General features: G+C 50.0%; 1 long non-coding RNA gene across 1 annotated transcript, besides 6 other annotated features; it reads right to left on the bottom strand.

Moving 5' to 3' along the window:
* Positions 2808–2971: a silencer, noted in NCBI's record as "fragment chr3:197229162-197229325 (GRCh37/hg19 assembly coordinates)". NCBI's record gives its function as "represses an EF-1alpha promoter that drives an FKBP-Casp9 reporter gene in an ReSE screen in K562 erythroleukemia cells {active_cell/tissue: K562}" and the evidence as "EXISTENCE:reporter gene assay evidence [ECO:0000049][PMID:32094911]".
* Positions 14211–14756: an enhancer, noted in NCBI's record as "H3K27ac-H3K4me1 hESC enhancer chr3:197217377-197217922 (GRCh37/hg19 assembly coordinates)". NCBI's record gives its function as "activates a minimal SCP1, AML or CMV promoter by ChIP-STARR-seq in naive H9 embryonic stem cells {active_cell/tissue: H9 hESC(naive)}" and the evidence as "EXISTENCE:reporter gene assay evidence [ECO:0000049][PMID:30033119]".
* Positions 14211–15302: a biological region, named in NCBI's record as "H3K27ac-H3K4me1 hESC enhancers GRCh37_chr3:197216831-197217376 and GRCh37_chr3:197217377-197217922".
* Positions 14730–15024: a silencer, noted in NCBI's record as "tiled region #14551; HepG2 Repressive non-DNase unmatched - State 7:EnhWF". NCBI's record gives its function as "represses a minimal TATA promoter and a strong SV40 promoter by Sharpr-MPRA in HepG2 cells {active_cell/tissue: HepG2}" and the evidence as "EXISTENCE:reporter gene assay evidence [ECO:0000049][PMID:27701403]".
* Positions 14757–15302: an enhancer, noted in NCBI's record as "H3K27ac-H3K4me1 hESC enhancer chr3:197216831-197217376 (GRCh37/hg19 assembly coordinates)". NCBI's record gives its function as "activates a minimal SCP1, AML or CMV promoter by ChIP-STARR-seq in naive H9 embryonic stem cells {active_cell/tissue: H9 hESC(naive)}" and the evidence as "EXISTENCE:reporter gene assay evidence [ECO:0000049][PMID:30033119]".
* Positions 25611–27276, bottom strand: LOC105374309 (uncharacterized). Its single transcript, XR_924902.1, has 2 exons — positions 27154–27276; positions 25611–26074 (listed from the first exon to the last, which is right to left on the bottom strand). It is a non-coding gene; the product is annotated as an uncharacterized LOC105374309 (long non-coding RNA).
* Positions 25765–26964: an enhancer, noted in NCBI's record as "BRD4-independent group 4 enhancer chr3:197205169-197206368 (GRCh37/hg19 assembly coordinates)". NCBI's record gives its function as "activates an origin of replication core promoter dependent on BRD2, P300/CBP, MED14 and CDK7 cofactors, and independent of BRD4, by STARR-seq in HCT116 cells {active_cell/tissue: HCT116}" and the evidence as "EXISTENCE:reporter gene assay evidence [ECO:0000049][PMID:35650434]".
* Positions 27277–28000: the final 724 nt, after the last annotated feature.

Here is a 28000-nt window from a genome sequence, read left to right as displayed (position 1 = left end):
CACAGTCTGTCTTCTTCCCCGCACAGCCTTGGAGCCCCTCATGGACAGCTGATGCGAGAGGTGTGAGTGGGCAGGGGTCTCTCCTTACTTAGGGAGTCCCATGACTTTGTCAAAGGAATAATAAAATATAAGGGCCCCTGGAAACCCAGAGGCCAACAACCTGAGGCTGCCAAGCAGGCGGTGCTGGGACTGCTTGGAGAATAACCAGGCAGGGGGCTCTGGATATGTGGGACTGGGCACGTGGTGTGGAGGCTGAGGGCAGAACCGGACAAGAGGCTTAGGCTGCACCCAGATGTGGAAGAGCGCACACCACTGCCAGCACCACGACAAGCTGGAGTTTTCAGCCCTAGGGCTTATTTTCTGTGCGGTTAAGTGTACGACGAAAGAAAACAGCAGAACATTAAAAAGAGATAGATAGGCTCTCGGGTTACTGCAGCAGAGAAAGAAACAGCACATCTGGAGGGTCCGCGCTTCTCCTGCCCTCGCCCCCCGAGGCCCTCCAATTCCCTCCCCTTCCCCGCCTCCTCTGGCCATGCAGCTGGCAAACCCCTCCCCGCTGCTATGTGCTTAGTGACAGTGGGGCCTTGGTCACTGAGGGTTAGTGACAGAGCTGTGTGTCTGGCTTTAGTGCCTGCTGGTCCTCTCCTCGCCTGTGTGGATTTACCTAGGTGGTCCCTGAGAAAGAGAGCCCACAGGTGATGCCCTGTTAGAGGTGAAAGAGACCTCAGAGACCCTGCAGACGGAGGGATGGGGACAGACGCAGGCCTTGCTGGCAACTGTGTTCTGGGTGAGGTCAGTTAGAAAGAACAGAAGTTTTGGAGCCAGATGCACCTAACTTTGATCCTGCTCTGCAACTTCCTGGTTGCATAATGCTGCCAAGTTATCTACTTTCTCTGAGCCTTAGTTTCTTTTTTTGGGCGGGGTGGGGAGGGTCACTAACACTAACACTGGGGCTGCTGCCAGCGAGCATTGCAAACCTCGATGTCTTTTTGTCTGTGATGGGGATAACCGTCTGTACTTTGCAGAGTTGTTGTGTAGATAGGTGAGTGGGTAAGCTCTCCAGCCCAGCGCCTGGCACAACGCGGGGACTCAGTAGGTGCCCCGGCTGCTGCAGTCACCGCCTAAAAAATTCTTTCCCGTCCCCACCCCAGCCTTTCTGAGAAATGCAGACACTGTAGCCCAAGGGTGTTCTAGAGGCACAGACAGAAATGGGGACCCACTCAGGGTTGAACCACAGCAGCCAGAGCCCACTTTCAGGCTCATCCTAGAGGCCTAGGGCAGAGGAGGGCACTGCCTTCTGCAGGCCCCCTTCCTGACTGCTAAGTGCAGAACAGACTCCACAGCCCTGCATCACCACCTGACTGGAAATCCCTGAAGATTTCCTGAGTGGATTAAGAAATTATTCGCCAGAAGGCCTTAAGCCTAAAAGCCTAGACAAGTCCATCCTAGACAAAGAAGGGGTTTTTTGTTTTTCTTTTTTCTGGAATACAAACCCTCAAAATCATCCAGGAGGATCAGCCCATTCATTCATTCAGCTTAGGGGAGGGGAATGGACCAGTTCTTCCTGCCCTGGTTATCTGTGTTTGGGATCTTCATTTATTTATTTTGAGACGGAGTCTTGTTCTTGTTGCCCAGGCTGGAGTGCAGTGGCACGATCTCTGCTCACTGCAAGCTCCACCTCCTGGGTTCAAGCAATTCTCTGCCTCAGCCTCCCAAGTAGCTGGGATTACAGGTGCCTGCCACCATGCCTGGCTAATTTTTTGTATTTTTAGTAGAGACGACGTTTCACCATCTTGATCAGGCTGGTCTTGAACTCCTGACCTCGTGAACCACCCGCCTCGGCCTCCCAAAGTGCTGGGATTACAGGTGTGAGCCACCGCGCCCGGCCTGGACTCTTTCTGTTAGCACTCAGTTTGTCCTACCCAGGCCCTGGCTTCCTGTGTTTTCTCTTTAAGCATTCAGGGTTGAGAGTGATCTATAATCAGGCTGCAGGATATCTATGGTAAGATTTGATTCCCAGCCTGAAGGAGTTCCCAGTCCTGTGGGGCTGAGGGCGTGAGGGGGTGGAGCAGATAGGACGCACCAACCTGGAGAGCTGTCACTCAGGACAGCCTGGGCTATAGTGGATGTATGAGCAAAGTTCATGGCAGCCCAGGAAGGAGCAGGAAATTCTCACTGGGGAGGTAACGGATGCTCCCTAAAGGAGGTTGTGTTTCAGCTGGGACTTGACAAGTGAAGAGGGTTTTGACAGATAGAAACAGGAGGTGGGGCACCTGACGGGACATTTCCCAGCTAGCAGAGCAGGATGAGAATGGCTTAGCACCTCAGGGGGATGGACTCTGAAAGGAAAGTGGATAATTTGGGGAGGCTTGAAGAACTCCAGCCCCTGGGAAGAAAGGGCTGTTAGGAGTGCCCCATCCCCCAGGACATTGTTCAGACAGCTCTGTCCTGTCAGAACCAGATCACTCTAAGCTGGACTGTGAAAGCCGTCCAGCCCCTTGGATCCTAAACGCACCGCACATGAATCTCCTGGGAAACTGGTTCAAAAACAGAACCAGTAAGTCTTGAGTGGAGCCCAGGAAACTTATATCTAAAAAGCGACTCAAGGCACAGCAAGGAAAAGGGGGGTCAGAGAAGACGGGGATGCTGCATCCCGAGTTAGTGACAGACCTGGGGCTAGGCCTGGGAGAGGGAGAGCTGGAGCACCTGTGGCTGTGGTTTTTTCTGTCCCCTGGTGGCTACTAGGAGTGAAACTCCGGGAGCAGAAAGGGCCGGAGGGCTTGTTTCAGAAGTGCCAGTGTGGGGAGATGCAGGCAAGTTTTCCTCCCCTTCTCAGAGACATCAGGACAGAGAGGAGACAGGTGTGCTGGGAGCCTGGCAAAGGCCAGATGGCCTGCTCGAGTGTTCTCATTAACAGGATGAAGAAGGGCGGAGCCCCCAGTGCAGATCCTTCCAGTTAGGCACTTGGATTGTGGCACTGGCTGGTGGCCCGGCCTTCCCACAATTTGTAGTTGTGTGTCCTGCAGTGGGCGACTCCACCAGGCTGTGCCAAGCCTGCCAGCTTGCTGTGCCCTCTGCCCCTCGGAGCTGCAGCTTTGCTCACTGTCCTCTCCTTGGCCAGGAGGGGGCAGTCAGCTGCCTCTCTAGTATCCCTCCTGCCTTTAGTGTTGAGGCTGGGACGCGTCAGGGAGGTGATTAAACAGGGCAGGGCTTTCTCAGACCCATGGCAAGAGGCCTAAGTTTCGGTTCCAGTTCCATGTTCTCAGTTGCAGACTGAGCCACTGGGGGTGGCTGAGGAGAAGCAGCATGCCCCCATCCCGGTTTTCTAGTGCTCAGGTACTTGGCTTCCAGGTGCCTAGCTAGCCTAGACAAGCTGGGACTTGGGGGCAGAGATTGCTGCATGTTCCTGATAATTCATTTTCCCCTTCTATAGGGATAGATCCACCAATGTTCAGCTGAGCACATGGCTGCCATAATAAAGACTACATTTCCCCAGATTCCCTTGCAGCTAGGGGGTAGTCATGTGACTATGTTCTGGCCAATGGGATGTAAGCAGAAATGGTGGTACAACAGTTTCCAGGAACCTTCCTTAAGGGGAGCTTATATGCATCTCCTTTGGCTCCTTCGGCACTTCATCCTGCAGCCTGGAACTTGGGATGCTGCCATCTTGGGCCATAAAGTCAAGATATTTATGACATTGCAACAAGATAGTGTTTGGATCCCAGACACTGGGGAACCACATTCCACCTTTGACCCCTCATTCAGATTTTATGTGAGAAGAAATAAACTTCCACCTTTTCTGCATTATTACAGTTTTGGAATTATTTCCTTGTATGCAAAGCAAATCCTAACTGAACCCCTAGTCCAGTTGGACAGGAGATGAGGAAGCCATCGCATACACATGGGGGCAGGAAGCCACATCTGATCCTAAGTAATAAGCATTTATTAAGTGCTTCCTACACGCCAGGCCTTGGGTTAAGCATGTTATATGCATTATCCCATTTGATTCTCCCAGTGATACTATAAGGCAAGATTTATAATCCCAATTTTATAGATAACTAAAATGAAGCTTAGGTTTAAATATCTTTCCTAGTTAGAAAGTGACAGGATTCAGAACCAGACTGTCTCTAACTGCTGGGTGCAAGCACTTACTGTTCCTCAGGCAATGAAGAGGGCTCCTGCCATGCTGGCCACAGCCTCCCTGACATCACCTGGGCTATGAAGAGGCAGCTCCTCTTTGATTGAAAGGAGAGATTCATGAGGTTGGGACTGAGCCAAAATTGAACACAAAACAGGCTGAGACAATAGGCAACCAAACTCTCATCCTTATTCTCTGAACAAAATTCTTAAACTTGAAATATTTTAGAGGGCTATTTCTCCTCCTTCTCCTTCTTCTTCTTATTTTTGAGATGGAGTCTTGCTCTGTCACCCAGGGTGGAGTGCAGTGGCCCAATCTCAGCTCACTCTAAACTTTGCCTCCTGGGTTCATGCGATTCTCCTGCCTCAGCCTCCTGAGTAGCTGGGATTACAGGCACGTGCCACCACACTTGGCTATTTTTTTTTTTTTTTGTATTTTTAGTAGAGACAGTGTTTCACCATGTTGGCCAGGTTGGTCTCGAACTCCTGACCTCAGGTGATCTGCCTGCCTCGGCCTCCCAAAGTGTTGGGATTATAGGTGTGAGCCACCATGCCTGGCCTAGTTCTTTTTTTTTTTTTGGAGATGGAGTCTCACTCTGTCACCCAGGCTGGAGTGCAGTGGTGTGATCTCGGTTCAAGAGATTCTCCTGCCTTAGCCTCCCGAGTAGCTGAAATTACAGGTGCCTGCCACCACACCAGGATAATTTTTACATTTTTAGTAGAGACGGGGTTTCACCATGTTGACCAGGCTGGTCTTGAACTCCTGACCTCAGGTGACCCACCTGCCTCGGCCTCCCAAAGTGCTGGGATTACAAGTGTGAGCCACCATGCCTGGCTTAGTTCTTCTTAATGAAAGTGTCCTCTCAGAAGCATCCCCAGTGAGACCACCTCCCGTTTAGTGGCTGAGCTAAGAAGACTCAAGACTCCTCTTCTTCCACCTCCTCCCTCTATCCCCACCTTCCTTTCTCTCTCCCTCTTCCTCCTCTCCTCACTCCTCCTGTTCCTGAGGATCATGGAGGTGGTACCAGAGGCTCCTTACGCAGCATGGCCTACCACCAAGTGGGCTTTTGTTAATCTGTTTAGCTTCAAAGATATCCATGAAGCAGCAACCACTAAATGTCCAAGAAATAATGGATTCCATCTGGGCAGCCAGGAAGCCTTGTTACTATTCCCTCTTCTACTACCAACTGGCCACATCGTCCAGGCAGCAAACGCCTTATCCTTTCTGGGCCTCACTCTCCTCATTGGAAAACAATAGTAATAATAATAACAGCAACATCTAACACATCTTTTTTTTTTTCCTCACAGACAAGGTCTGGCTATGTTGCCTAGACTGGCCTTGAACGCCTGGGCTCCAGCGATCCTCCCACCTCAGCTTCCCAAGGTAGCTGGGACTACAGGCGTAGGCCACCACACCCAGCTCACCAGCAAACAATCTGTTGAGTCATCCAGACTCACTATGTTCTAAACACTTCACAAGCGTTTATTCACTCATCCTTCCCAGGACCCTATGAGGGAGGTACTATTACTATTATGGGTGGGGAACCTGAGACACCGAGGTTTCTAAGTGGCCCAAGGTCATGCGTGCACCACGAAGTCAAAATGAGACTTGAAAGAGGACCTGGCAGCTGTGTTTAGTCACGGCCCTGGGTTAAATGACCTCTCAGGCAAAGTCTCAATGCAGTAAAGACAAAGTGGGGGTGCTTGGGTGGAATGGGGGTGGGGGTCTAAACCCTCGCCCTTCCTCCCCCCACCCGCCCTTAGGGGAGGGGCTCTCCAAGCGCTGCTCCACGTGGAACATTCTGAGAATCCCCCAGGGCCTGGGGCCGCTGGGGTGTGGGAGGGCGGGGAGAGAGCGTGCGCCCTGCACAGTGAGGTCGTGGCGCCCGGCACCTGCCACCTGTGACTGGGATGAAGGGCTCGATCAGAACCTGTCTGCCGGTTTCCCCGTGCGACGATTAACCACCACCCCCTCCATAACCCGTGTGTTTTCCAGGTGAGGAAAATCCCCACCGAGGAGAGCTGGGGCACGCGGGCCTTGCGCTCACCGCGGGCGGGTCGTGCGGCCCCCTTGGCGACACCCCGCGCTCCCCGGGCGCCCGCCCCAGGCCCAGATGCTGCGCGCGGCTCCCCCACTCAGCGGCTCCCTGGGAGCCCCGGCCGCCCCGGCGCCTCCTCCCGGCCCTTCCCGGCCCCGCGGCCTTGCAGCTGGCCGACCCCTCCCCCAGCTCCGCGCTTAGGGACGTGGGGCCCTGGTCGCTGAGGGTGAGTGACGCAGCCGTGCGTCCGGCTGTCCGCCCCCATCGGTCGTCTCCTCGCCTGTGCGGATCGCGCCGCCGTTCATGCACCTGTCCCGAGTGAACGTGGTGGAGGGATCTGGAGGTCTGACTCCTCACTCCCACCCCTGAGCTGTGGGCAGAAAGCCACTTGCAGAGCCCCGCCAAAAAGTCACTCTCTCTGGCTCGAGGCTCATTCAGGTGTCCTATGGCCACCGCTGAGAGACACCTGGGGCCCTCTGTGCGGCTGGGTCAGTCTCCCGCTGGCCACTGGCAAAGCCTGGCCACCAGTGCTCTGGGGAGACTGGAAGGGGGCCAGGGCTGAAGCAGCTGGAAGGAATGTCCATTTGTCCTGTTCTGCTTCACCTGCTTCTGCTTTATTTCAGAAAGGGGCTCAGTGCCTCAGGCACACCTTGAGAAACACCTCCATTTTCAAAGGAGACCATGAGTTTCCTGCTTGCCCAGTAAGATTTGTTTATTGCAACTATGTCAATAAATGGCCCCTATTTACCTATCCGCTAGCCCCTTTGTGAGCCTCCATCCTCTGGCTGTGTAAAAGACCCCTCAATGAAGGAACCTTTCCATTTTTCTCTGAAGCGCACCTGTGCCGAGGGTTAGCTCTGCGTTTGAAGTGGGTTTGCTTGTTTGTTTGTTTGTTTGTTTGTTTTAACCACTGGTTTATTGCCTGGCTTTGGTCACATTCCATCCCCTCTTTGAGCTTCATTTCCCCATCTGTGCCATAAATCAGCGGAACTTCCTAAAGTCCCAGTGATTCTTCAGCAGTATCTAGCCTGGGCATGGTGGCACCGTAGTCCCAGCTATTGAGGAGGCTGTGGTGGGCCCAGGAGTTGGAGGCTGCAGTAAGCTATGATCACACCACTGCACTCCAGCCTGGACCCCAGAGTGAGACCCTGTCTCAAAAAAAAAAAAAAGTATCTGACACGGAAGCGTTCTGCTAAAAATGTTTGAGTTTGAGACCCACTGGCCTAGACGACTTCACACCTGGGCCCAGGAATGTGTCTGCTTAGGTCTCTGAAAACTTTTCTCCGGGTTTCACCACCGTGATGCCCCTGAGTCTGACACGTCTTCTCTCAGAGCCTCTAGGCTGAGCCCAGCACGGCAGAACGGGGTGCATCATGAGGCAAAGGACCTGCCGCCCTGGGACAGCCCAGCTAGAGACGGGAATGAAATTACTCTGCAGAGCTCTCCTGCCTCCTGGAGTGGAGGACATTTCTATTACCATCCCCTCTCGTGGGTCCTCTGTCCAGGCCTCCTCTGTCCTGACTTCTTCTACAAGAGAGTGGAAATCCTTCCAGTGTAACAAGCCCGCCTTCACCTGCTCTCATTCGACACAGCAGCCCTATAGTGGAAGGAGGCACAGGAATTGCTTCCCCGCACTCCCGCCCCACTTTTTTTTTATGGAGATGGAATCTCACTCTGTTGCCAGACTGGAGTGCAGTGGTGCGATCTCGGCTCACTGCAACCTCCGTCTCCTGGGTTCAAGCGATTCTCCTGCCTCAGCCTCTTGAGTAGCTGGGACTACAGGCGTGTGCCACCATGCCTGGCTAATTTTTTGTATTTTTTGTAGAGGCGGAGTTTCACCGTGTTAGCCAGGATGGTCTCCGTTCCTGACCTCGTGATCCGCCTACCTTGGCCTCCAAAAGTGTTGGGATTACAGGCGTGAGCCACCGCGCCCGGCCTCCCCTCTTTTACAGATGAGAAAAAGGCTCAGAGAGATAAAGGGACTTGGACCAGGTGACAAAGCAAGTGTTTTGCAGCATTGTGTGAGCATCCTGGCATCCTCATAACGTAAAGAGAATAGGGACTCCCACCAGCTGGGAGAATGGTTCTGATGTGGTAGGAAGGAAAGAGGGTGACTGAGCTCATCCACTCTCTCAAACCTGCTGCAACAGCCAAAACAGGCATGAAAGGGTGGGGGGTGACTTCCTGGGGTTCCCTGGGGATCCTCTGAGTACTTCCCAGGGCTCCTGAGTCAGGACACTGTAAGAGATGGGGGGAGGGTCCTGGCAGCACCAGGCCAGAGGCAGGAGGGCCCTGATCCAGTGACTTCCCATACCCCACCCTCATCCAGCACACACACACACACAGTTGCCGCCGTGAGTGTCCTCATCCATGGCACCTTCCCTGACACAGGAGCATGAAGAAAATGGGCTGTGTGAGCAGAAGGGCTCTCCCTGCCAGCCAGCCCATAAGGCTCTGACAATCTCCTCCAGCTTTGCTGGCAGCTTCTTAGCTTCCTCTACTGTTTCCAAGATGGGCCCAGCATGTCCTCAGGGGACCCTGGGTGGAAATTAGTATTCTAGTCACACCTCCAGTGTCAGTAATCCCTTCTGCTTGGGCAGTACTTGGGAGTTTTCAAAGTACACTCACATCAGAGGCCGGCAAGGTAGGCAGGACAGACAGCAGACAGCAGGGTTGTCCCTATTTTATAAACTGGACAAAACTGAGACTCAGGGAGTGGGGTGACTTGTCCAAGGTCACAGCACATCACTGGGAGACCCAGAACTGGAACCTGGGCTGAGGGTCCTGCTGTATCCATTTCTGGCTTTGTCTACGGGGTTTCCGGCTCCACTAAGGCCATAGCAGCCTTTCTGGCCAAGATAAGCACTGGGTATCTGTCCCTATTTTCAGCATTTTCCCATGACAGGCAGCCCGTCTTATAAAAGCAAGGAGGGCGGCCAGTGGCTTATGCCTGTAATCTCAGCACTCTGGGAGGCCGAGGCGGGTGGATCATGAGGTCAGCTTGGCCAACATGGTGAAACCCTGTCTCTACTAAAAGTAAAAAAATGAGACAGGCATGGTGGCACACACCTGTAATCCCAGCTACTCAGGAGCCTGAGGCAGGACAGTTGTTGGAACCCTGGAGGCGGAGCTTGCAGTGAGCCGAGCTCATGCCATTGCACTCCAGCCTGGGTGACAGAGCAAGACTCCATCTCAAAAAAAAAAAAAAAAAAAAAAGGAAAGGGACGGGGGGCCCTGTAAGTGAAGAAAAATCATGCAACTGACACTCTCCATGCCCCAGCCGAGCCCGGCCAGCCTAGGAAAGTGGGTGTCAGGAAGCCTGAGGTCAGTGTTCAGCTCAGCAATCAATTCTCTGGGGGGTTTTGGTCAGGAGGAAATTTCTTTTTGAGTCTGTTTCTTCTTCTGTAAGATGAGATGAAGGATGAAAATCACTGTATTTAAACAACTCATATGAGAATCGCTTGAAAAGTTTGTACAAAACCCAGATCCTGGGGCTTCACAGCAGGCCGAGAGGATCAGCTCTGGGCTTGGGGAAATCCATGGGAACCCATGATGTGAAGTAGTCTCCTGGGTGATTCTGAGGCCCACTGACATCTGAGACCCCAAGACTTGATGGTCCCAGGGGCCTTCCCTGCTCTGACATCCGATTATTTGAGGTGTGGGAAGTGTGGTGAGTGCACTCTGGCTCTGATGATTTCCTCCCGTATTTTAGTCTTTGTAGTAGACTCAGGGTCATGGAAGTGGAAAAGTATCTTGAACAGATACTAGAGTGCAGTCTGTTCAGGAAAAGCACAACAAGTACCAGAAGTCCCGGGAGGGGTAGGGTTTGCATTCCCACGAGGCCGTGAGCCAGCTGTGGGTTCTTGGGCCTCCGACTGAAAGGTGCTTCCCAGGCCCCAGTCTGGGGTGTACCAGGTGTCCCACCCACGGACATGTCTCAACAATAGAATGATTTCTCTGCTGTGGCCTCCACCCAAGTCCATCTAAAGACTCTTCCTGGCTCTAGATGGTCACCATCCCCCTGCCGCATTCCTGAGGAGCCCCTAACTTTCAGGCCGCCAAAGTGGCGCCGTCCACTCTCGGAGTGTCTGCATGTGTGGCACCCACGTGCTTGGCTACGTGCAGAAGCCGAACATCACTTCCCTGCTGGCCCCAGACTAAACCAGTCATGGTTCTTGGCTGCAAACAAGAGAAACTCATTTTGGCTGACTTAAGCAGAAAAGGAATTTATTCAAGGATATTGGGTAGCATTGAGACCCACCACAAAGTTCTGGAGAACCAGGTTTGAAAAACAAATCTGGCTGCCTCCCAGAAAGACACATGCCATGGGGATTTCCCAAGACTAAAAAGGGAATGCAGGTGCTGTGCATCCCATGAAATGACAAAGGCCTCTCACATGTGGGTGCGGCAACCTGGAGGAGCCTACACCCCAGAGAAACGTTGGTGATGTTTGCTGTGGCTGTTGCCAACAACTGCATTTTCCTGTTCCTCCCTCCAGGTTTCAAATCCCATATGCATCTGATCTGGGAAGGGCTCTACCAGGAACCACCTCCTTTGCTCCACTCCATTAATCCCTCCTGACACTATAATCACGTTTCCCATGCAACCAGTTGAGCTGCCAGCTGCTGAACTCTGATCCCAGACAAACCCTTTTCCCCTGCACCCTCCACCACTCACACACAAACAACCTATCCCATGTCTCCCTAGCCTGCCCCACTTTCCTGGAAAAGGGACATTTGATCTCCAGAACCATTCACTGGGATCACATTTTTTTCTACAATAATTTTTCTGTCTAATTCAATCAATCAACAAATATTTACCAGGCATCTACTATGTGCCAGTTACTATGCCAGGGGCTGAGGGGTGAAAAAAACCACTGTCTTCATGGAGCTTAGAGTATCATGGGGACACAGAGATTGATCAAAGAATCAAACAATTATCTTATTATCAACTCTCAATACTATGAAAGAAATGATCACAAAACCTTGAATCTTTAGTAGGGAGATCTGATCTTGTCTGGGAAGCTTCCTTGGAAAGGTGACATTTGAGTTCAGATGTGGAGGATGAGTGAGAGTCGGTGGGAGGGAGGGAAAGGGAGGAAGGAAGGTTGGAAGAAAGGAAGGGTGGGCATTCTACGCAGAGAGAAAGCACGAGAAAGGGTTCTGAGTAGAATGAAGCCTGTCTTCTCCGTGAAATCAAAGCAGGGTGGCTGGAGCTCCCACTGGGGGTGAGAGGGATGGTGGTGCTGCCCGAGGCTGGGGAGGTAGGCAGGGGCTAGACCAGCAGGGCATCAGGCACACATGATGGATTTTAGTTTTTACCAAAGAGCAACAAAGAACTGTTAAAAATCATGTCAGGAGAGTTGGGGCCTGCAGTGTGAACAGATCAGAGACAGCAAAAGTGGATGAGGGGGCCTGTAAGCAGTCCAGGTGAGAGTTAATAAATACTGTCTTGGACTAGTGGCTGTATAATAGAGTCAAGAGAGCAGAGTCAAGACCTAGTTTGGAAGTGAAATTGACAGGACTTGGTGACAGGCAGAATATGGAGTGAGGTAGGGGTGAGGGAGACTGTGTGTCTAAGGTGACTCTGAGGTTTGTGGTGGATGGTGTTAGAGGAACACTCATTCCCCACTCCTCATGTTTCCTGGTGGAGGGTCTTCTGTTAGCGTAACAGCCCCTCGCTCCTTATATGATGGTGTATTAGGGAGGAGGAACTGGACTGGGGTGGCTCAGTGCCTTTTGGGTTTTCAGATCACCCCTGCCTGCCACAGACAGATGTGATCTCTCTGCTCTCTGGGCCACACAGTGAGCTTGGTGGGGCCGGCTGTATCCACCCCACACCCCTCAGAAGCCTGCAATGTGGGAGGCAGTGTCAGCTAAGGAGGGCGTAGCCAGTCTGATCAGGACCTGGAAACAGAAAAGAGGTGTCATTTTCTAGACCCTCCCAGCACTTAGAGGAGTTATTTACTAAGACAGGGAACACGGGAGGAAAAGCAGGGTTTGAGAGAGAAAAACCATGAATTCAACTTTGGAACCCTTTTCTGGCCACTTTGATATCTTAACTTTGGCTTAAATATCCCATGAAATCAGTACGTTTGCCCATGTACACCTTTTTTAAAAAATTAAAAGGGACATTAACTAATCAAAGTAAGAATTTTCTAAAATTTTGCTGTGGTAGGTCAGCCTGGACTTACAAATCCAAGCCAGATGGGGTCTCCTCAGAGGGGCAGTGACCTGGGGGATGCCAACAGTGACAGCTACCACCAGCAGGTACTTCACACACGTCCCGTACTGCGCCAAGACCATCACATGTAATCTTTACTGTACCCTACGAGAGACACTTTTATTATTCCTACTTTTCAGATGGAGAAACTGAGTCCCAGAGGGGTTAAATGACCTCAGCAAGGCCATCTAGCTAATGAGAGGTGAATCTAGGATTCCAGAGCTCTTGCTCTTAAATGCTACGCTGAATGAGAGGATGCGCTGGAAGATTTTTGACCAATTGTGTGAACAGTAAGAAGCACAACTGTGGCCTTTGTGGCTTCCTTTTTAGAGATGGAATTTCGCTGTGTTGCCCAGGCTGGCAGCATATTGGCCCTCCCCACCTCAGCCTCCTGAGTAGCTGGGACTGGGTGCATGCCATTACACCCATCTAGCACAGCTGTGTTTTGTGCTCTTGGCTGAGAGGTTCTTAGGACCCACTAGCCCTATTGTCTCTTCGTTCCTCTCCCCAATCCGCCTTCGTCATGTGAGCCTTTGCAGCAGCCACCTGATCTCAGAGTTCTCTTCTTCCCTCTCTTCAGACATTTTGCAGACATCCTCCTCCCCTCCTCTAACACAGAGACAACCTGTCTGGTAAAGCCTCTCAAACCCAGCCAGAATCATCTGGAAGAGTTTAGCGGGCTGGCAGCAAGGCCAGTCTGAAATGGACTTAGCTAGATTCCGCCCGAGGCCCTCCCATTAGCTGCGCAATGCAGCCTCTGCCCAAAGTGCAAAGCAGAATGCTGCTGGAGCTGCTCATGAAACCACCTTACTGTGGCCACCAGATTGTCCCCATTTGCTTTGGAAAGCAATGCCATTGTGAAATATGGCATCTCCTGTAGTTCTGCATCGGAAGCAGAGAGGGCATACACGGACTCCCTCCCCATTCCAGCAGGCATGTTCTCAACACCCCTGCACCTGGGCCTCTGGCCAGGGGCCTCCATAGCCGCCTTCAGGAGTGAGTGCACTGCGGTCTGAGCACCTGGATGTAGCCCTCCACCCTTACCCTGTGCCTCCCTAAAGCCTCGTGTGTCAAATGAAGTCATCATTATCCCTACCTCGTGAGATGTCACAAGAATAAATAATTTAATATATGCAAGGTGCTTGGCACCGAGTGTTATAAAACTTGATGATGATGATAGTTTGCTATCATCATCATCATCATCACCATCATCACTACCACCATTCAGTACATAGTTTCCCACCTTTGCACTTTTAAAAAAGGAAAACCCATTGCCATATGTAATATGATTTCTTTACCACTTTGTTGAAACCAACTTTAAATAAACTCACTTTTAAAACGTAGCCTCGGCTGGGTGCGATGGCTCATACCTGTAATCCCAACACTTTGGGAGGCCGAGGCAGGTGGATCATTTGAGACCAGGAGTTCAAGACCAGCCTGATCAACATGGTGAAACCCCGTCTCTACTAAAAATACAAAAATTGGCTGGGCATGGTGGCACACAACTGTAATTCCAGCTACTCGGGAGGCTGAGGCAGGAGAATCGCTTGAACCCAGGAGGCAGAGACTGCAGTGAGCTGAGATCACGCCACTGCACTCCAGCCTGGGTGACAGAGCAAGACTGCCTAAAAAAAAAATAACAGTATCCTTGAAATCACAGGTTTCGTGGTTCTAATTATATTTTTAAAAGCTCATTACAGTAAATATGTGTCTATTAGCATAATAATTTACCCTTGCAGCACGAAATCACCTCGTACTGACCAGTGGTCCTCACACCTCTCTTTGAAGCCCACCTATGCAGGCCAAGTCCTCGCACATGTCTGAGTCTCCTCATCTGTAAAACAGGTGCAGCGTGATGATGACACTGCCCCAGGACCGTTGTCACGTGCTGTGGGATGCTGGTTTTGACCATGCTTGGTAAACTGCAATTTGTCAGTGGAGTTGATATCATAGGGTCTCCCCACGCCCACTTCATTCCAGATGTCCTGGGATGTTCGTTCTCTAGAAGCTCTAGCAGCTCACCCAGGTTTGCAAAAGGAACAGCTTATAATGAGCCCTCTCCACTCCCATCCCACTTCTGGGAATCTGTGGGGCTGTCACTCAGGGATGTTTTTTTCTCTCGTGTTTCCTCTCCTTGGGTTAGAACAGCCCCCAAAGCCTATTTTAATCCTTTGTCCCCATTTGGCATCCAGCCTTCCTCTTATCTTGACTTCACTGAGGGTGTCAGGTCCATTTGCTGTACTCAGGAGGTGGCACCCCCAAATCGAGGCCCTCTGGCATCACCTCCAGCCTGGCTGGGCAAACTGCCCCCGGCTTCAGAAAGCAGAAACTCCCAGGAGTTTTCTCTCCCCTGGCTGCGGGCTCTCCTATTGCTTGCTTGCCTGCCCACCTAAATCATAGATCCAGAAACATCTTTTCTCTGGACCTAACCAGCAGAGGCAGCTGCTCACATTCTGCTTCTTCTTTCCTCATGGTAATTCATTAGGCATTTCCTCTGATCCTAGCCTCTCTTCCTCTCTCCTGATGAGCCAACAGGGTAAAATCTCCAAGAGAGGCCTTGGGGCACCTTCTGATCCAAGGGGAGAAGACTGCAGCCTGGTGGGGCTATGATGTGGGCAGAGGAGAGGCTGGGAGTAAATTCCGGGGCTAATGCCTGGAATACTTTGCATTTCTCTGACCCTGCCCCGCCCAGCCAGCACCCAGAGCTTCACAAATGCCCATTTAGAAGGCCGCACCCTGCTAGTATGGTGAGGTCCTTGTGACTGGCTGGCCCCCATCAGACACAGAAAAAGTAGAGGGAGCTGGGGACAAACTTTAAAAAACTGATGACAACATGATTCCTTTTCTTTTATGAAAGAAAGGAAAAACACATGTAAAACAAACCCAGAACGTCCATCTGAAGAGTGGACGGGAGCAGTGGTTTTCAATTTATAACACAAGTGTACTCTTAGCCTATCCATGCACCATTGCATCCAGAAGGATGTACAAAACAGCCCTTCAAGATTGAGTTGTGTCGGGCTGGGCGCGGAGGCTCACGCCTGTAATCCCAGCACTTTGGGAGGCCGAGATGGGCGGATCACGAGGTCAGGAGTTTGAGACCAGCCTGGCCAACATGGTGAAACCCTGTTGCTACCCAAAATACAAAAATTAGCCAGGTGTGGTAGCACACACCTGTAATCCAGCTACTCGGGAGGCTGAGGCAGGAGAATCGCTTGAACCAGGAGGCAGAGCTTGCAGTGAGCTGAGATCACGCCACTGCACTCCAGCCTGGGTGACAGAGCGAGACTCTGTCTCGAAGAAAAGATTGCACTGTGTCTTCCCAGTCAGAGTATGGGAAGGTCAGGGGTCCAGTCGGGGAATCCCTGGGCACTCCTCAGCCCCAGGTCCTTCCAGCTTGGCCTGAGGGCCTCCCCCCACATTTGGCCTTCTCTCCTTTCACTCCCCACCCACACCCCAATTCCTGCCCCTTCGGACCTCCTCAACCTACTGCTCCCACTCCCAGGCCATGCCTTGGGTCCAGGTCAGGCTTTTGGTCACATTGGGTTCTGCTTTACCTGGGCAGGAACTGTGCTGGGGGCCGGTGGGAGAAGCAGGCCGGTGGATTTTAGAAGGCAGGCTAACCTTGCTCTCTGTCCAGCTGGCCTCCCCTTGGCGCAGTTCCTGTGTATGGATATTCTTACAGAATCGCTACTCTCCCTCTCCTTTGAGCTGGCCTAGCTTTGGCTTATCATAGGCCCCAGGAAAGGCCAGGGGACTGGGGTACCGGTTAGAGGGATATAAAAGTTCATTCTGCCTTGTACGTATGTTTAATTGATTAGAACACTTCATTTTCTCACAGCATGTATTTCATTGTACTACTGGCAACTGTCATCTCTTATAAATGAGGTTCATAAATAGTTGTTCCAGCTTATGGAATTCTGGAGAAAAAAGCTTCCAGAACAGTGATATGGTGCACTTCCCACAAAATGAGACAAGCTGAAGACACCTGTGAGTATCAACCCTCATTTATGACAGCCTCGTATGGTGGGGTAGTTAGAAGGTGATGCAGGGACATTCAACAGCAGAGATTATAATGACAGTAAGATAAGAGTTACTACAATCAAACTACTGCCTAGCTACTCGGCCCCGGGTTGGATGGTGAAGATTCAAAATTAAAAGCCATGGTCTCTGCTCGGGGGCTCCTGGTCTAGGCCACTTTGACTCAGAAGAATTTGAAATGACCCTTCAAATCCACCCTTCTCTCGCCACCGACCTCAACTGATGGGCATCAGCATGCCATCAGGTGGGTACACGTGTGACGAAGGATCAGGCACCTTACCTTTTATTCCTTCTTAATGTTGTGTGCCGAAATTTGGTGTGCACGGTATGTGTCTGCAAGCCTTTTACATTTTCATCCACATCAGTATTCATTTTTGCTTCTCAGCTACATTCTCAAAAATGAGAAGGAAGTGTGCTTATTCATTTAGATTGCCATGTGCGAGGGTCTGCCCAGCCGAACACCTGAATCATGTTTTGCTAATGATGTTGATGTCGACGTTGACCAAAGCTTGATAATTCCGTAACAATGTAATATGTCTTATTTTTAAACTAAAGCTTGGCTGGATCCCAACCAAAGCCACAGACAGAATTCAGAAGAGGTTTCTTTTAAGAAAATAGTAAAAGAAAAAGGTTTGCAAACCCACCAGATGAGAGAACAGTGCTCTTCCTGGCAGTCTCGTCTGCCTCTGGTAATGCTCAGGTCACCCAGTGAATGACACAATGTCCCTGTGGGCCTCATCCCATCTGCTTCTGTTTGTCATGGCCCAGGGCCCGTCAGTCCCTCAATGCTGCCCTTCCTGCCTCCCAGGCAGGTCTGGGCTTCTGTGAGTCACTCTCACAGCAGCCGTGACCCATGCAACATCTCAGAGTTTCTCAGCACAACAATTCATCATGTGCCTCAGTGTTCATCCAGCAATGTCAGGAAGAAACTGCTGGATATTGTTCTATGTCGAGTCAAAAGCTGTCCTGCAAAACAGCAGTGCCATTGAAGATGAAAGTTGATTCCCAAGCTAAAGCCAATCAAATACAATCTTGAGATATTTTGTGGGTCGAACTACATTTTTTGTTTGTTTGTTTTTGAGACAGGGTCTCACTCGGTCGCCCAGACTGGAGTGCAGTGGCGGGATCACCACTCACTGCAACCTCTGCCTCCTGGGCTCAAGCAATTCTCCCATCTCAGCCTTTCAGGTGGCTGGGACTACAGGCGCGCGCCACCGCACCTGGCTAATTTTTATATTTTTTGTAGAGATAGGATTTTGCCACATTGCCCAGGTTTGTCTCGAACTCCTGGGCTCAAGCAATCTGCCCTCCTCGGCCTCCTAAAGTTCTGGGATTATAGGCGTGAGCTACCGTCTGCCCTCCTCGGCCTCCTAAAGTTCTGGGATTATAGGCATGAGCTGCTGTGCCGTGCCCGGATGCTTTGGTATCAGAGACAGCACAGATACCCTGGAAGTCTCTCGTAGACGGCTTCTCTACTCTGGAGACCAGCGCTGATATTTAGCTGGTGTGCAAGAGTAAAAACAACCCCATCCCTCCTGCTTCCCTGTACCCTCTCATCTATGGAAGCTCTAAGGGAAGGGACTGGTTTGGCTTCCACTTTGATAGAATGGGCAGCAGTCACATGGCCCATTCAGCAATAGAAGAGCTCTAGATCCATTTTTTTATTCCAAGACCTCTCACAGCTTCACAACTTCCTCTGAAGTTTGCCTGGTCATGTCCCTGTCTCTGGCCTGAGATACTCCAGCTAAACAATGCAATGAGAAATATTTGGCAGCCTTTGTATCTCTGTGTACCTGAAAGGTGTGCCCTCCTTGGCCAGGAAACTAGAAATACCAGCCTGTGGGAGCTGGGATGGGCTAGGACCACTTTCTCTGAAGATGTTGCAAATGTAAGGCAAGGACATTGAAAACCAAATTCTAGAGGATACCAAGCAGAGACAAGCGTGAAAAAGAAAAGAAAAGAAAGGTGACCAAGACTGATGCATAACAGAGAATCGGGAGAATGACGCTGGTTCCCAAGAGGGGTTATTATGCCACTGGTTCTCATCGGGGGCTAAAGGCCCTCTGTGGGATTGTGAAGATTTGCAAATGTGTCCAATAACCTGAGTATTTTCTTTGTCCTTAATTGTGTTTCAATTTGAGAAACAGAGAGGAAGGAGGATGGCTAGTATGGGGCATGTGTGAGACAGAGAAAGATGTGGATGTGAAAGGAAGGAATTCTCACCGGGCACGGTGGCTCACGCCTGTAATCCCAGCACTTTGGGAGGCTGAGGCGGGCAGATCACAAGGTCAAGAGATTGAGACCATCTTGGCCAACATGGTGAAACCTCATCTCTACTAAAAATACAAAAATTAGCTGGGTGTGGTAGCATGTGCCTGTAGTACCAGCTACTCAGGAGGCTGAGGCAGGAGAATTGCTTGAGCCTGGGAGGCGGAGGTTGCAGTGAGCCGAGATCGTGCCACCGCACTCCAGCCTGGTGACAGAGCAAGACTCCATCTCAAAAAAAAAAAAAAAAAAAAAAGGAAGGAATTGCCCAACTAACATCTGAGATTTTCCACCAGCCAGAAAAACATTAGTTAAGTACTACCCCAGGCCACCTAATTCCAGGTCGTTTGAAATCCTGTGGAACAGTTTTAACCTGACAGCCTGTTATTCACCCAGACATGTATTTCATATTCCTCAATTTCTAGCCAAGGAAGGGAAGGATGTGGAGTCGGTGGGGCTGTAGAGAGCCTGGACCAACAATCAGAGGAGCTTGAGTTTCGTGCTGGCTCTAGTACCAACAGTATAATCTGTCTTTCACCTGGTCTCTCTTAGAGCCCCTGGACATGCTGAAAATAATCTTTACAGCTTTCGAGTGCTTTGCTGGTGGCAGTAGCTGAGGGAATGGAAATTTGGAGAGCAAGAACCAAACCACAGCAGTCTGTTGGCCATAGCAAGCCACACTGTGGACCGCTCTCAATGCCATTCAAGTCATCATTTATCACTAACTCTTCTTTGCGGGTCACCTGCTGACTGTGGCCTGCCACTTCAGCAGAACTGGTGGGAACAGGTGCTCTAATGTGCTGACAGTATCACAGAGTAACACTTGAATTGAGAAAACTGGGGTTTGGCGGGGGGAAAATACTATAGTTACAGGTTCGTATTTCTGCTTCTCCAATTAGATTACAAGGCTCTCTAGGGCAAGGACTATGCTTTCGAAGCCCGAAGTCCTAGCAGAGGGCTTGGCCCATGGAAATGCTCAATAAATGTTTGTGAATGAGAGAAAAGGAGGGAAAGAGGGAGTGGGTTCTTTCCAAGGTCACACTGCAGACGTCCCCCGACAGTGGAGGCATGCTGGCCACTGTCCCCCTCAGCACCCAGCTCTAGTGGATGTTCTTTTGCGGGTCAGGCTGATTATGTCTATTTCCCAGAAAGTGTCACTGATACCATCAGACCCCAAGGCATCTGCTGTTCCAGAGCAGGCTCCCCTGGTCTGTAATGTGAACGATATCAGAGAAGCCAAGATTGTCTTTGTCTCAACTCTCCTGCCGGGGGTGCTAAGCCTGGGATATCCACTCAGGCTGGGAACAGGTGGTCTAATGTGCTGAGAGCATTACAGAGCAGATTCAAGATCCTTTTGAATTGAGTGGATCTCAGAGTATCAGGGCTGGGATGCTGGCCTTCTACAGATAAGAAAACTGGAGCTCAGCATCTGTGGCTGGCAGGACCCAGGGGTGGGGAATGGCCCCACAGGGAGCGGAGCCCGGGAGAGTCAATGGTGAGGCCCCCAGGGTACAGGCAGGATCGACCTAACAGGCCACCCTAGCAAGGCATTCATGCAATGGGGTGGCAGGTTTCTGGAAAAGACCTGGGAAGCTGAGGGCCAGAGAGCAGAGGGGACCCACTCAATCTCGTCCAGTGTCAGGGACAGAGACAGATCAGAGGCAGGATCTGGTCTCTTCACAGGAGGGAATGGCTGGACTGGAAGAGAGAGGAGGAGAGGGAACCTATGTAAATCCCTGAGGCAATGGAGCCTACCCAAAGCATGCTGGGAGTAGGGACAGAGGGTATTGGGGAGCTATTAAGGGAGCCGAGCCCGTCTGGATCATTCTGCGTTGTCCTAGACCCCGCTCCACTTTCTACCAGCTCTGGGAATTCACCTGCTCTCTGCTCTTTGCACAGTCCCCACTTTGGAAATGGGGAGGGGCTCCGAGTTGGGTATGACCCTCTTCTAAACAACCTTCAGCTTCAGGGCCCTGTCAGTGATGTGGCCTTCTGCAACATCCAGTCACTCACTGGGTATCCCTGTGTCCTCAATTAGTGCCGGACCCAAGCTGGGTCCCTGCCGCAGCAGTCTCATGATCTTGTTGGGGAAGTAGGGGGACATTTGAGGCACCCAGCACAAGGCACTCTAAGGCAGGCATGGCTCCTGGTATAACCAGTGGGTTGTTAGAAGAAGCAGAGAAGAGCCTCATGGGCACGTTGGCTTTTGGAGGAGATGAGGCTGGAACTGGAGTTTGAGCATTACGTGCTGGGATGGGAGTTTCGAGTAAAGTCACTGCAGTAAGAATACACACGTTTTCTCGCAAGGGTAGAGGGAAGGAAAGTTGTTAGGGCAGCCTCAGAGTCATCAGGTAAAAGCCTATGGTTTTTTTTTGTTTGTTTGTTTGATTTGCTTTTTCTTTGAGATGGAGTTTTACTCTTGTCTCCCAGGCTAGAGTGCAATGCAAGATCTCAGCTCACTGCAACCTCCACCTCCTGGGTTCAGGTGATTCGCTTGCCTCAGCCTCCTGAGTAGCTGGGATTACAGGTGCCCACCACCATGCCTGGCTAATTTTTATATTTTTAGTAGAGACGGGGTTTCAACATGTTGGCCAGGCTGGTCTCAAATTCCTGACCTCAGGTGATCCACCCGCCTCGGCCTCCCAAAGTGCTGGGAATACAGGCATGAGCCACCATGCCCAGCCAGGCCTGTGTTTTTTAAGCATTTTTTAATCAGCACAGTAATCCTTTGCCAAAGGAAACTCTACTCAGAATGTGTCAACCTGCTAAAAGCAGAACTGCTGTATCCTTTCAGCTTCCTTCCTACCCCAGTGTTACACCTCAGCCCCACCGCCACCTCAGAAAATGAGTGAAGCTTTATAGCAGGACTAGTTCAACCTCATTATTGGACCAGAAGGGAAACTGAGGCATAAAGAGCAGAAGAGACAAGCTCAAGCTCAGGGTTTTTTCCACCAGTCCTTGCTGCCTCCTGAATGAGGCCAGACTGGAGCCACTTTCAGCCAGGCTAAGGGATGTAGCTTCCATAAGATGGAGAACGTTGGATTGTGTTTGGACAAAGGCATTTTTTCTGTCATTCCGGTTTGACAGCCCAGCTAGTGCTGCAATCTCTTGATGTTTCAATTTTTTTTTTTTTTTTTTTTTTTTTGAGACAGAGTCTTGCTCTGTCATCCAGGCTGGAGTGCAATGGCTCAATCTCGGCTCATTTCAACCCCCACCTCCCAGGTTCAAGAGATTCTCCTGCCTCAACCTCCTGAGTAGCTGGGATTACAGGCATGCACCACCACGCCTGACTAATTTTTGTATTTTTAGTAGAGACGGGGTTTCACCATGTTGGCCAGGCTGCTCTCAAACTCCTGACCTTAGGTGATCCACCTGCCTTGGCCTCCCAAAGTGCTGGGATTACAGGCACAAGCCACTGCACCTGGCCTGTTTCAATTCTTTCACTGAGAAGACTAGCATATTGAAATCACCTGAGAAATAGCTCTAGCAATGCAAGGTTAGAAAAACTGGTAGGGATGGTGGTTTGGGCTCAAGAGGGAGATGTCATTCGGTTAAGTTTTGGTAAATAGATGAACTGACAGTGAATAAGTTCGATGGAAGAATCAGTGCTTCCTTAAACTGCAGCATAAATTATGCCCGTTCATTCCTTGGCCAAATGATGTGAGGAACTGATCAACATCTGCGGAAGCTACGAGAGACCTTCTGCCTCTGTCTCTCCTGGGGTTTATCTTGGCCAGGGCTCTTTCTAGTAGGTTTCTGCCAGTTTTCATGACAAAGCTTCATTTCAGTGACCTTGAGAAGGCTAGACGGGACTTGGGGTGAGGTGAAACATCTAAGAAAGGCAGCAGATGCATTAATTGTTTCTTGCTTATTCTTTCAAACACGCAAGCCGAGAAATGCTGTTGGAGAAAATCAGTCACTTCCCGAGGTCTCAAACTGCCCCGCCACAGTCGACCAGGAGAGCTGCTCTCCCAAGCCTTGATTCCCCTAGCACCACCCTCTACGGTTTGTAAAGAACTTTCAGATGCATTCTCTCATATGAGTCTCACAGAAATGCTGTGAGGCAGACCAGGTAGGCATTGTTCCCATTTGAGGGATGGGTCAGAGAGACAAGGAGGCTTGCCCAAGATGGTGTTGCTAGTTAGCATGTATTCAAATATTCTTTGGTCTATACTTCTTTATGAATGATGTTTGTTATCACAGCACGGAGCCAGGGCTTCGGACTTGCTCCCTAGCACTCTTTTGGCCCCATCAGGCTCTTTCACCTAAGGATGTAAATAAAAATGGATTTTCCACTGGAAACAGGTCAAATGACTTAATACAGCCACAGACAATTCGGAGCAAGCTGGTAAATCCTAAATGAGTCATGCTTCATTTGAATAACAAACCAGACAAACGCTCAGGCCTACAGCAGAAAGAAATAGGATTATACAGTTAGAGGGAATTTGTTTATTGAGACCAATGGCTTTTAGACATTTCTAAGGCATGAAAACCATTCTTTTTTTTCTTTTCTTTCTTTCTTTTTTTTTTTTAAGTCTTGCTCTTGTTGCCCAGGCTGTAGTGCAATGGCACGATCTCGGCTCACTGCAACCTCCGCCTCCCAGGTTCAAGCGATTCTCCTGCCTCAGCCTCCCGAGTAGCTGGGATTACAGGTGCATATCACCATGCCTCGATAATTTTTTGTATCTTTAGTAGAGATGGGGGTTTCACCATGATGGCCAGGCTGGTCTCGAACTCCTGATCTCAGGTGATCCACCAACCTTGGCCTCCCAGAGTGCTGGGATTATAGGCGTGAGCCACCGCACCTGGCCAGCCATTAAGATGAAGTCTTACCAGGCAGTTGAATGGGAAAACCTATTAAAGCAGCTTTTCTGAAGAACATGAGGCCCCACTTAGCATCTTTGGGAAACGCTCTCATTTACAGATGAGAAAACAGGCCCAGAGGCCCAGGGCGGGGGGACCTGAGCTGGGGCTGGAACCCCAAACCAGTGTTACTCCCATTAAAGGGTCCTCATGAAGAATCAGCTGATGGTCCCAACTCACTTTTTGCCCATGTTTTCCTCTGTTCCCCATATTTCTAAATATATCTTATCCTTTCTATCTCCTTTGCTCAAGCTATTTCCTCTTCTCAGAATGCATTTTCACCTGTGAAATTTGCATTTTCCCCTCCAGACCCAGATCAAAGAGATCTCCCTCCCCCACTCCGCACCTTCCTTTGCCATGAAGCTCTCCCTAAGGGTCATAGCTAGACAGACTTACAGTCCCATATCTGAGTTTCATTAGAACTTGTGGCGACACTCTTAGGACGTTCTGCTTTGTCTTAAAGTCATTTGAGACTTAATCTCACCCCTGAGATTTCATCCTTCTTGGGTTCTGTGACAGGGTCCTCATCACAGAGTCTTTTTTTGTAGTGTGTGTGTGTGTGTTTGTGTGTGTGTGTGTGTGTTTAATGGAATCTATGTATAGAATCACTTTCCTTTCTGAATACCCAAGTTCTGGAGTCAGCCTAGCTTGGGTCCCCATCCCAGCCCTGCCATTTCCTAGGAAAGTCACATCATTTCTCAGCATTTTTGTATCTTCAGCCATTACACATGCCCACTCCTCTGTGAAGAGCCAAAGACAGGGTATCGTTAGAGGCATTTATAAGCTACAGGCTGCCTTGATGGCTAGTGTTTTGAGATCACTAGGAAAAATTTTAAATTCAGTTCTAAGAGCCTAAAAAATCGTGCAATGCCAAATAACTGGTTACTTTGGATGTCCCTTTCCAGTGAGTTGCTTAGGCTTTATACAGTCTCAGTCTTCCTTCTACCTGCATGTTGAGCCCCAAGTTCTTGTATTTGCTGCTCTGGAAGTGAGCTCACTGTATTTTTATTGACTGAAACTGTTCCTTCATTTCTAAAATGGTTTTTGAGGTCTACTATGCTACATTATTATGGGTTGAGTTGTATCCCCGCCAAAAGCCCTAACTCTTGGTACCTGTGAATTTGTCTTATTTGGAAATACAGTCTTTGCCAATGTAATCAAGTTAAGATGAGGTAATGCTGGAGCAGGGCGGGCCTGACTCCAATATGGTTGGGCGTCCTCATAAGAAGAGGAGAAGGGACAGAGCCATCCATACAGAGGGAAGATTGCCATATGAAGATGGAGGCAGAGATGGGATTTATGCTGCCACAAGCCAAGGAAAGCCTGCAGTTACCAGAAGCTAGAAGAGACAAGGAAGTATCCTACCCTAGAGGCTTCAGAGAGGGGATGGCTCCACCAACACCCTGATTTCCAACATCTAACCTCTACAACTGCAAGAAATAAATTTTTTTTTAAGTTAAAATTCCTGAGCTCAGGAGATCCTCCTGCCTCAGCCTCCTGAGTAGCTGGGACTACAGATGCGTGCCATCATGCCTGGCTTAAGCTTCTATCATCTTACGCCACCTAGTTCGTGGTACTTTGTTACTGTGTCCTGGGAAATGAACATACATGCAAACTGGCAAATTAGCAGAGAATAAGACATGGTCCACCCTCATCAAATGAGGGAGGCGTGACAACAAACACAAATGAACGAGTATTAAAATGGCTGATTCTTCTAAGTACACTGATGAAATTGAACAGGGTCATGTAACATTCCAGTTCTTACCTGAAGGAAGAGAAGCTCATTGTGGGAGAGGTAGACAGCAGCCAGGTCGCCTAGGGTCTCGGGATGCTGTATGGGAAAATGGGTTGTCATAGAGCCAGGGTGGCCACGGACAGACCTAACTGAGTTGTTTGAATGGATGCTGGTGGCTTGGAAGCACATGGCAGCAATGAAGAAGGAGTGAAAGTGGACAGATTCGAGATACCTTGTGATGGCTGAGCCAGAAGGTCTTGCCGATAGGTTGGCTGTGGAGATGTGAGAAAGAGAGGAATCGAGGAGGAGTCTAGGCTTTTGGCTTAAGCCAAAACCATTTATTTTATTGAAATGGGGAACATTAGTGGGGGCGTATGTTGGGGATGAGAGGGAAGGAACCGAGAGTTCTGTTAGGGTTGAGATGCTTGTTAGATATCTTTGTGAAGACGCCAAGCAAGCCATTGGCTATGTGAGTCCAAAAGTCAAAGTCCAGTGTCCTTCACCCTGTCTGGTGATGAGATCTTTCCAAATATCCAGGCCTGCAGTGAGATTGGAGAGTTTCTTCCTTCCTGTTGGAATATTTCTTTCTCCAGCTGGGTAGATACCCGCTGGGAGTCCCTGGATAACTGCTAATGCCAAGAAACTTGCTAAGTAGCACTGAAGTTTTCAAATTTCTTCACAAAGTATATTGTGCTTCCAAAGCTTCCTGTGGTGTCTTCGGAGCTGTGTCTAGCTGCATCAGCAGAGCTGCGTCTCTTGGGGCTTCCAGGATAAGCTGGGTGGAAGGATGGGGAGAGCTGTAGGTGACCCTGGACCGTATTCCCAGGACTCCAGGCTCCCAGCTGTTTGGCCAATTAAAGAAGAAACCTTCTGCTTTGTACAGACCCACTTCCCACACAAAGAGCTCGGGGGAGAACAAAAAGAGCCAGCAATGCCTGCACTCTGGGAAGGCTGAGCCTCACGCAAGGGTGCTGACTCAGAAGCAGCAGTTGCTTGCCCTAGGAGCCTGCAGTCGTTGGCACAATCAAAAATCAATTAAAACATGCCATTCTGCTTTGCTCACCCTATGCCAGCCTCTCCAGGCACTTCCCCTCATTTTCAGCTCCTCCCAGAGTTCTTTGCTGCCTAATTAACTTGGAGTCCAATAGCCTGAGCAGGAGGCAAGCTGTACAGGAGTGAGGAGCATTGAACCAGGAGCCTAAGCCTCAGGACCTGCTTTGGCTGCACTGTAACTATTCCTGGGACTGTCAGCAAATCATTTAACTCCCTGGGCCTTGGGTGCCTCAACTATGAAACAGGTGGTGATTGTCTACCTTCCTGTCCAGGTGTTTTGGGGAATAATCTTGAGAGTAAAGAATGTATGGCCAGGTGCGGTGGCTCATGCCTGTAATCCCAACACTTTGGGAGGCTGAGGTGGGTGGATCACGAGGTCAAGAGATCAAGACCATCCTGCCTAACATGGTGAAACCCTGTATCTACTTAAAATACAAAAATTAGCTGGGCGTGGTGGCAGGCATCTGTAATCCCAGCTACTCAGGAGGCTGAGGCAGGAGAATCGCTTGAACCCAGGAGGTGGAGGTTGCAGTGAGCCAAGATTGCACCATTGCACTCCAGCCTGGGTGACACAGAGAGACTCCGTCTCAAAAAAAAAAAAAAAAAAAAAAGAATGTATGTGGCCACACTCTTGTAAATTGTAAATTCCTGTTTAAATTTAATAGATTCTATGATATCTAACATATACAATATGACAAAACACATTTTAACCTACATTTAAAAGGAATTCTAAAAAAGTATTCCTTCTTTTTTAGTTGCAAAATTGTTTGGAGGGAATAAGTCAACAATCTACAAACTTACCAAGTTTCTCACAGCTGACACCATTTCTCTTTGGTCTCAGTGGCCCAGAGCAGGAGCTCTAACTGGGTGCGCCGGAATGACTGCAGCGGCGCGTTCCAGGAGCCTCTAAGGAAAGGTTGCCAGATTAAGCAAATAAAAATACGGGATGGGCCAGGCACAGTGGCTCACGCCTGTAATTGCAGCACTTTGGGAGGCTGAGATGGGAGGATTGCTTGAGTCCAGGAGTTTGAGACCAGCCTGGGCAATATAGTGAGACTTTGTCTCTACAAAAAATAAACAAAATTAGCCAGGTATGGTAGTGCAAACCTGTAGTCCCAGCTACTCAGGAGACTAAGGTGGGAGGATCACTTGAGCCTGGGAGGTCGGGGCTATAGTGAAACATTATTGCACCACTGCACTCCAGACTGGGTGACAGAGGGAGACCCTGTCTCAAAAACAAACAAACAAACAAACAAAAAACAGGATATCCACTTAAAATGAATTTCAGATAAATGATGAATAATTTTTTGTATGAGTATGTCCCAAATATTGCATGGGATAAACGTATACTACTTTCATTGTTTACCCGAAATTCAAATTTATCTGGGTGTCTTCTATTTCATCCGGCAGCTCTCCAGGATGCCTGGGCAGCATGAAGCAGAAGACTCGGCCACTTGAATCCCCAATATGCCTCACCCATGTCTCCAGGAGACAGCCCTGCCTTCAGGGGAGGGTCTCCTTGCACTTCAAGCTCTTTGGATTAAGAAATGGTTTATAGGCTGGACGCAGTGGCTCACGCCTGTAATCCCAGCACTTTGGGAGGCCAAGGTGGGTGGATCACTTGAGGTCAGGAGTTCAAGACCAGCCT

This window comes from Homo sapiens, chromosome 3 (genome assembly GCF_000001405.40).
Source record: "Homo sapiens chromosome 3, GRCh38.p14 Primary Assembly".
Classification (NCBI taxonomy): Eukaryota; Metazoa; Chordata; class Mammalia; order Primates; family Hominidae; genus Homo; species Homo sapiens.
This window is presented reverse-complemented; position numbering and strand designations above follow the sequence as displayed.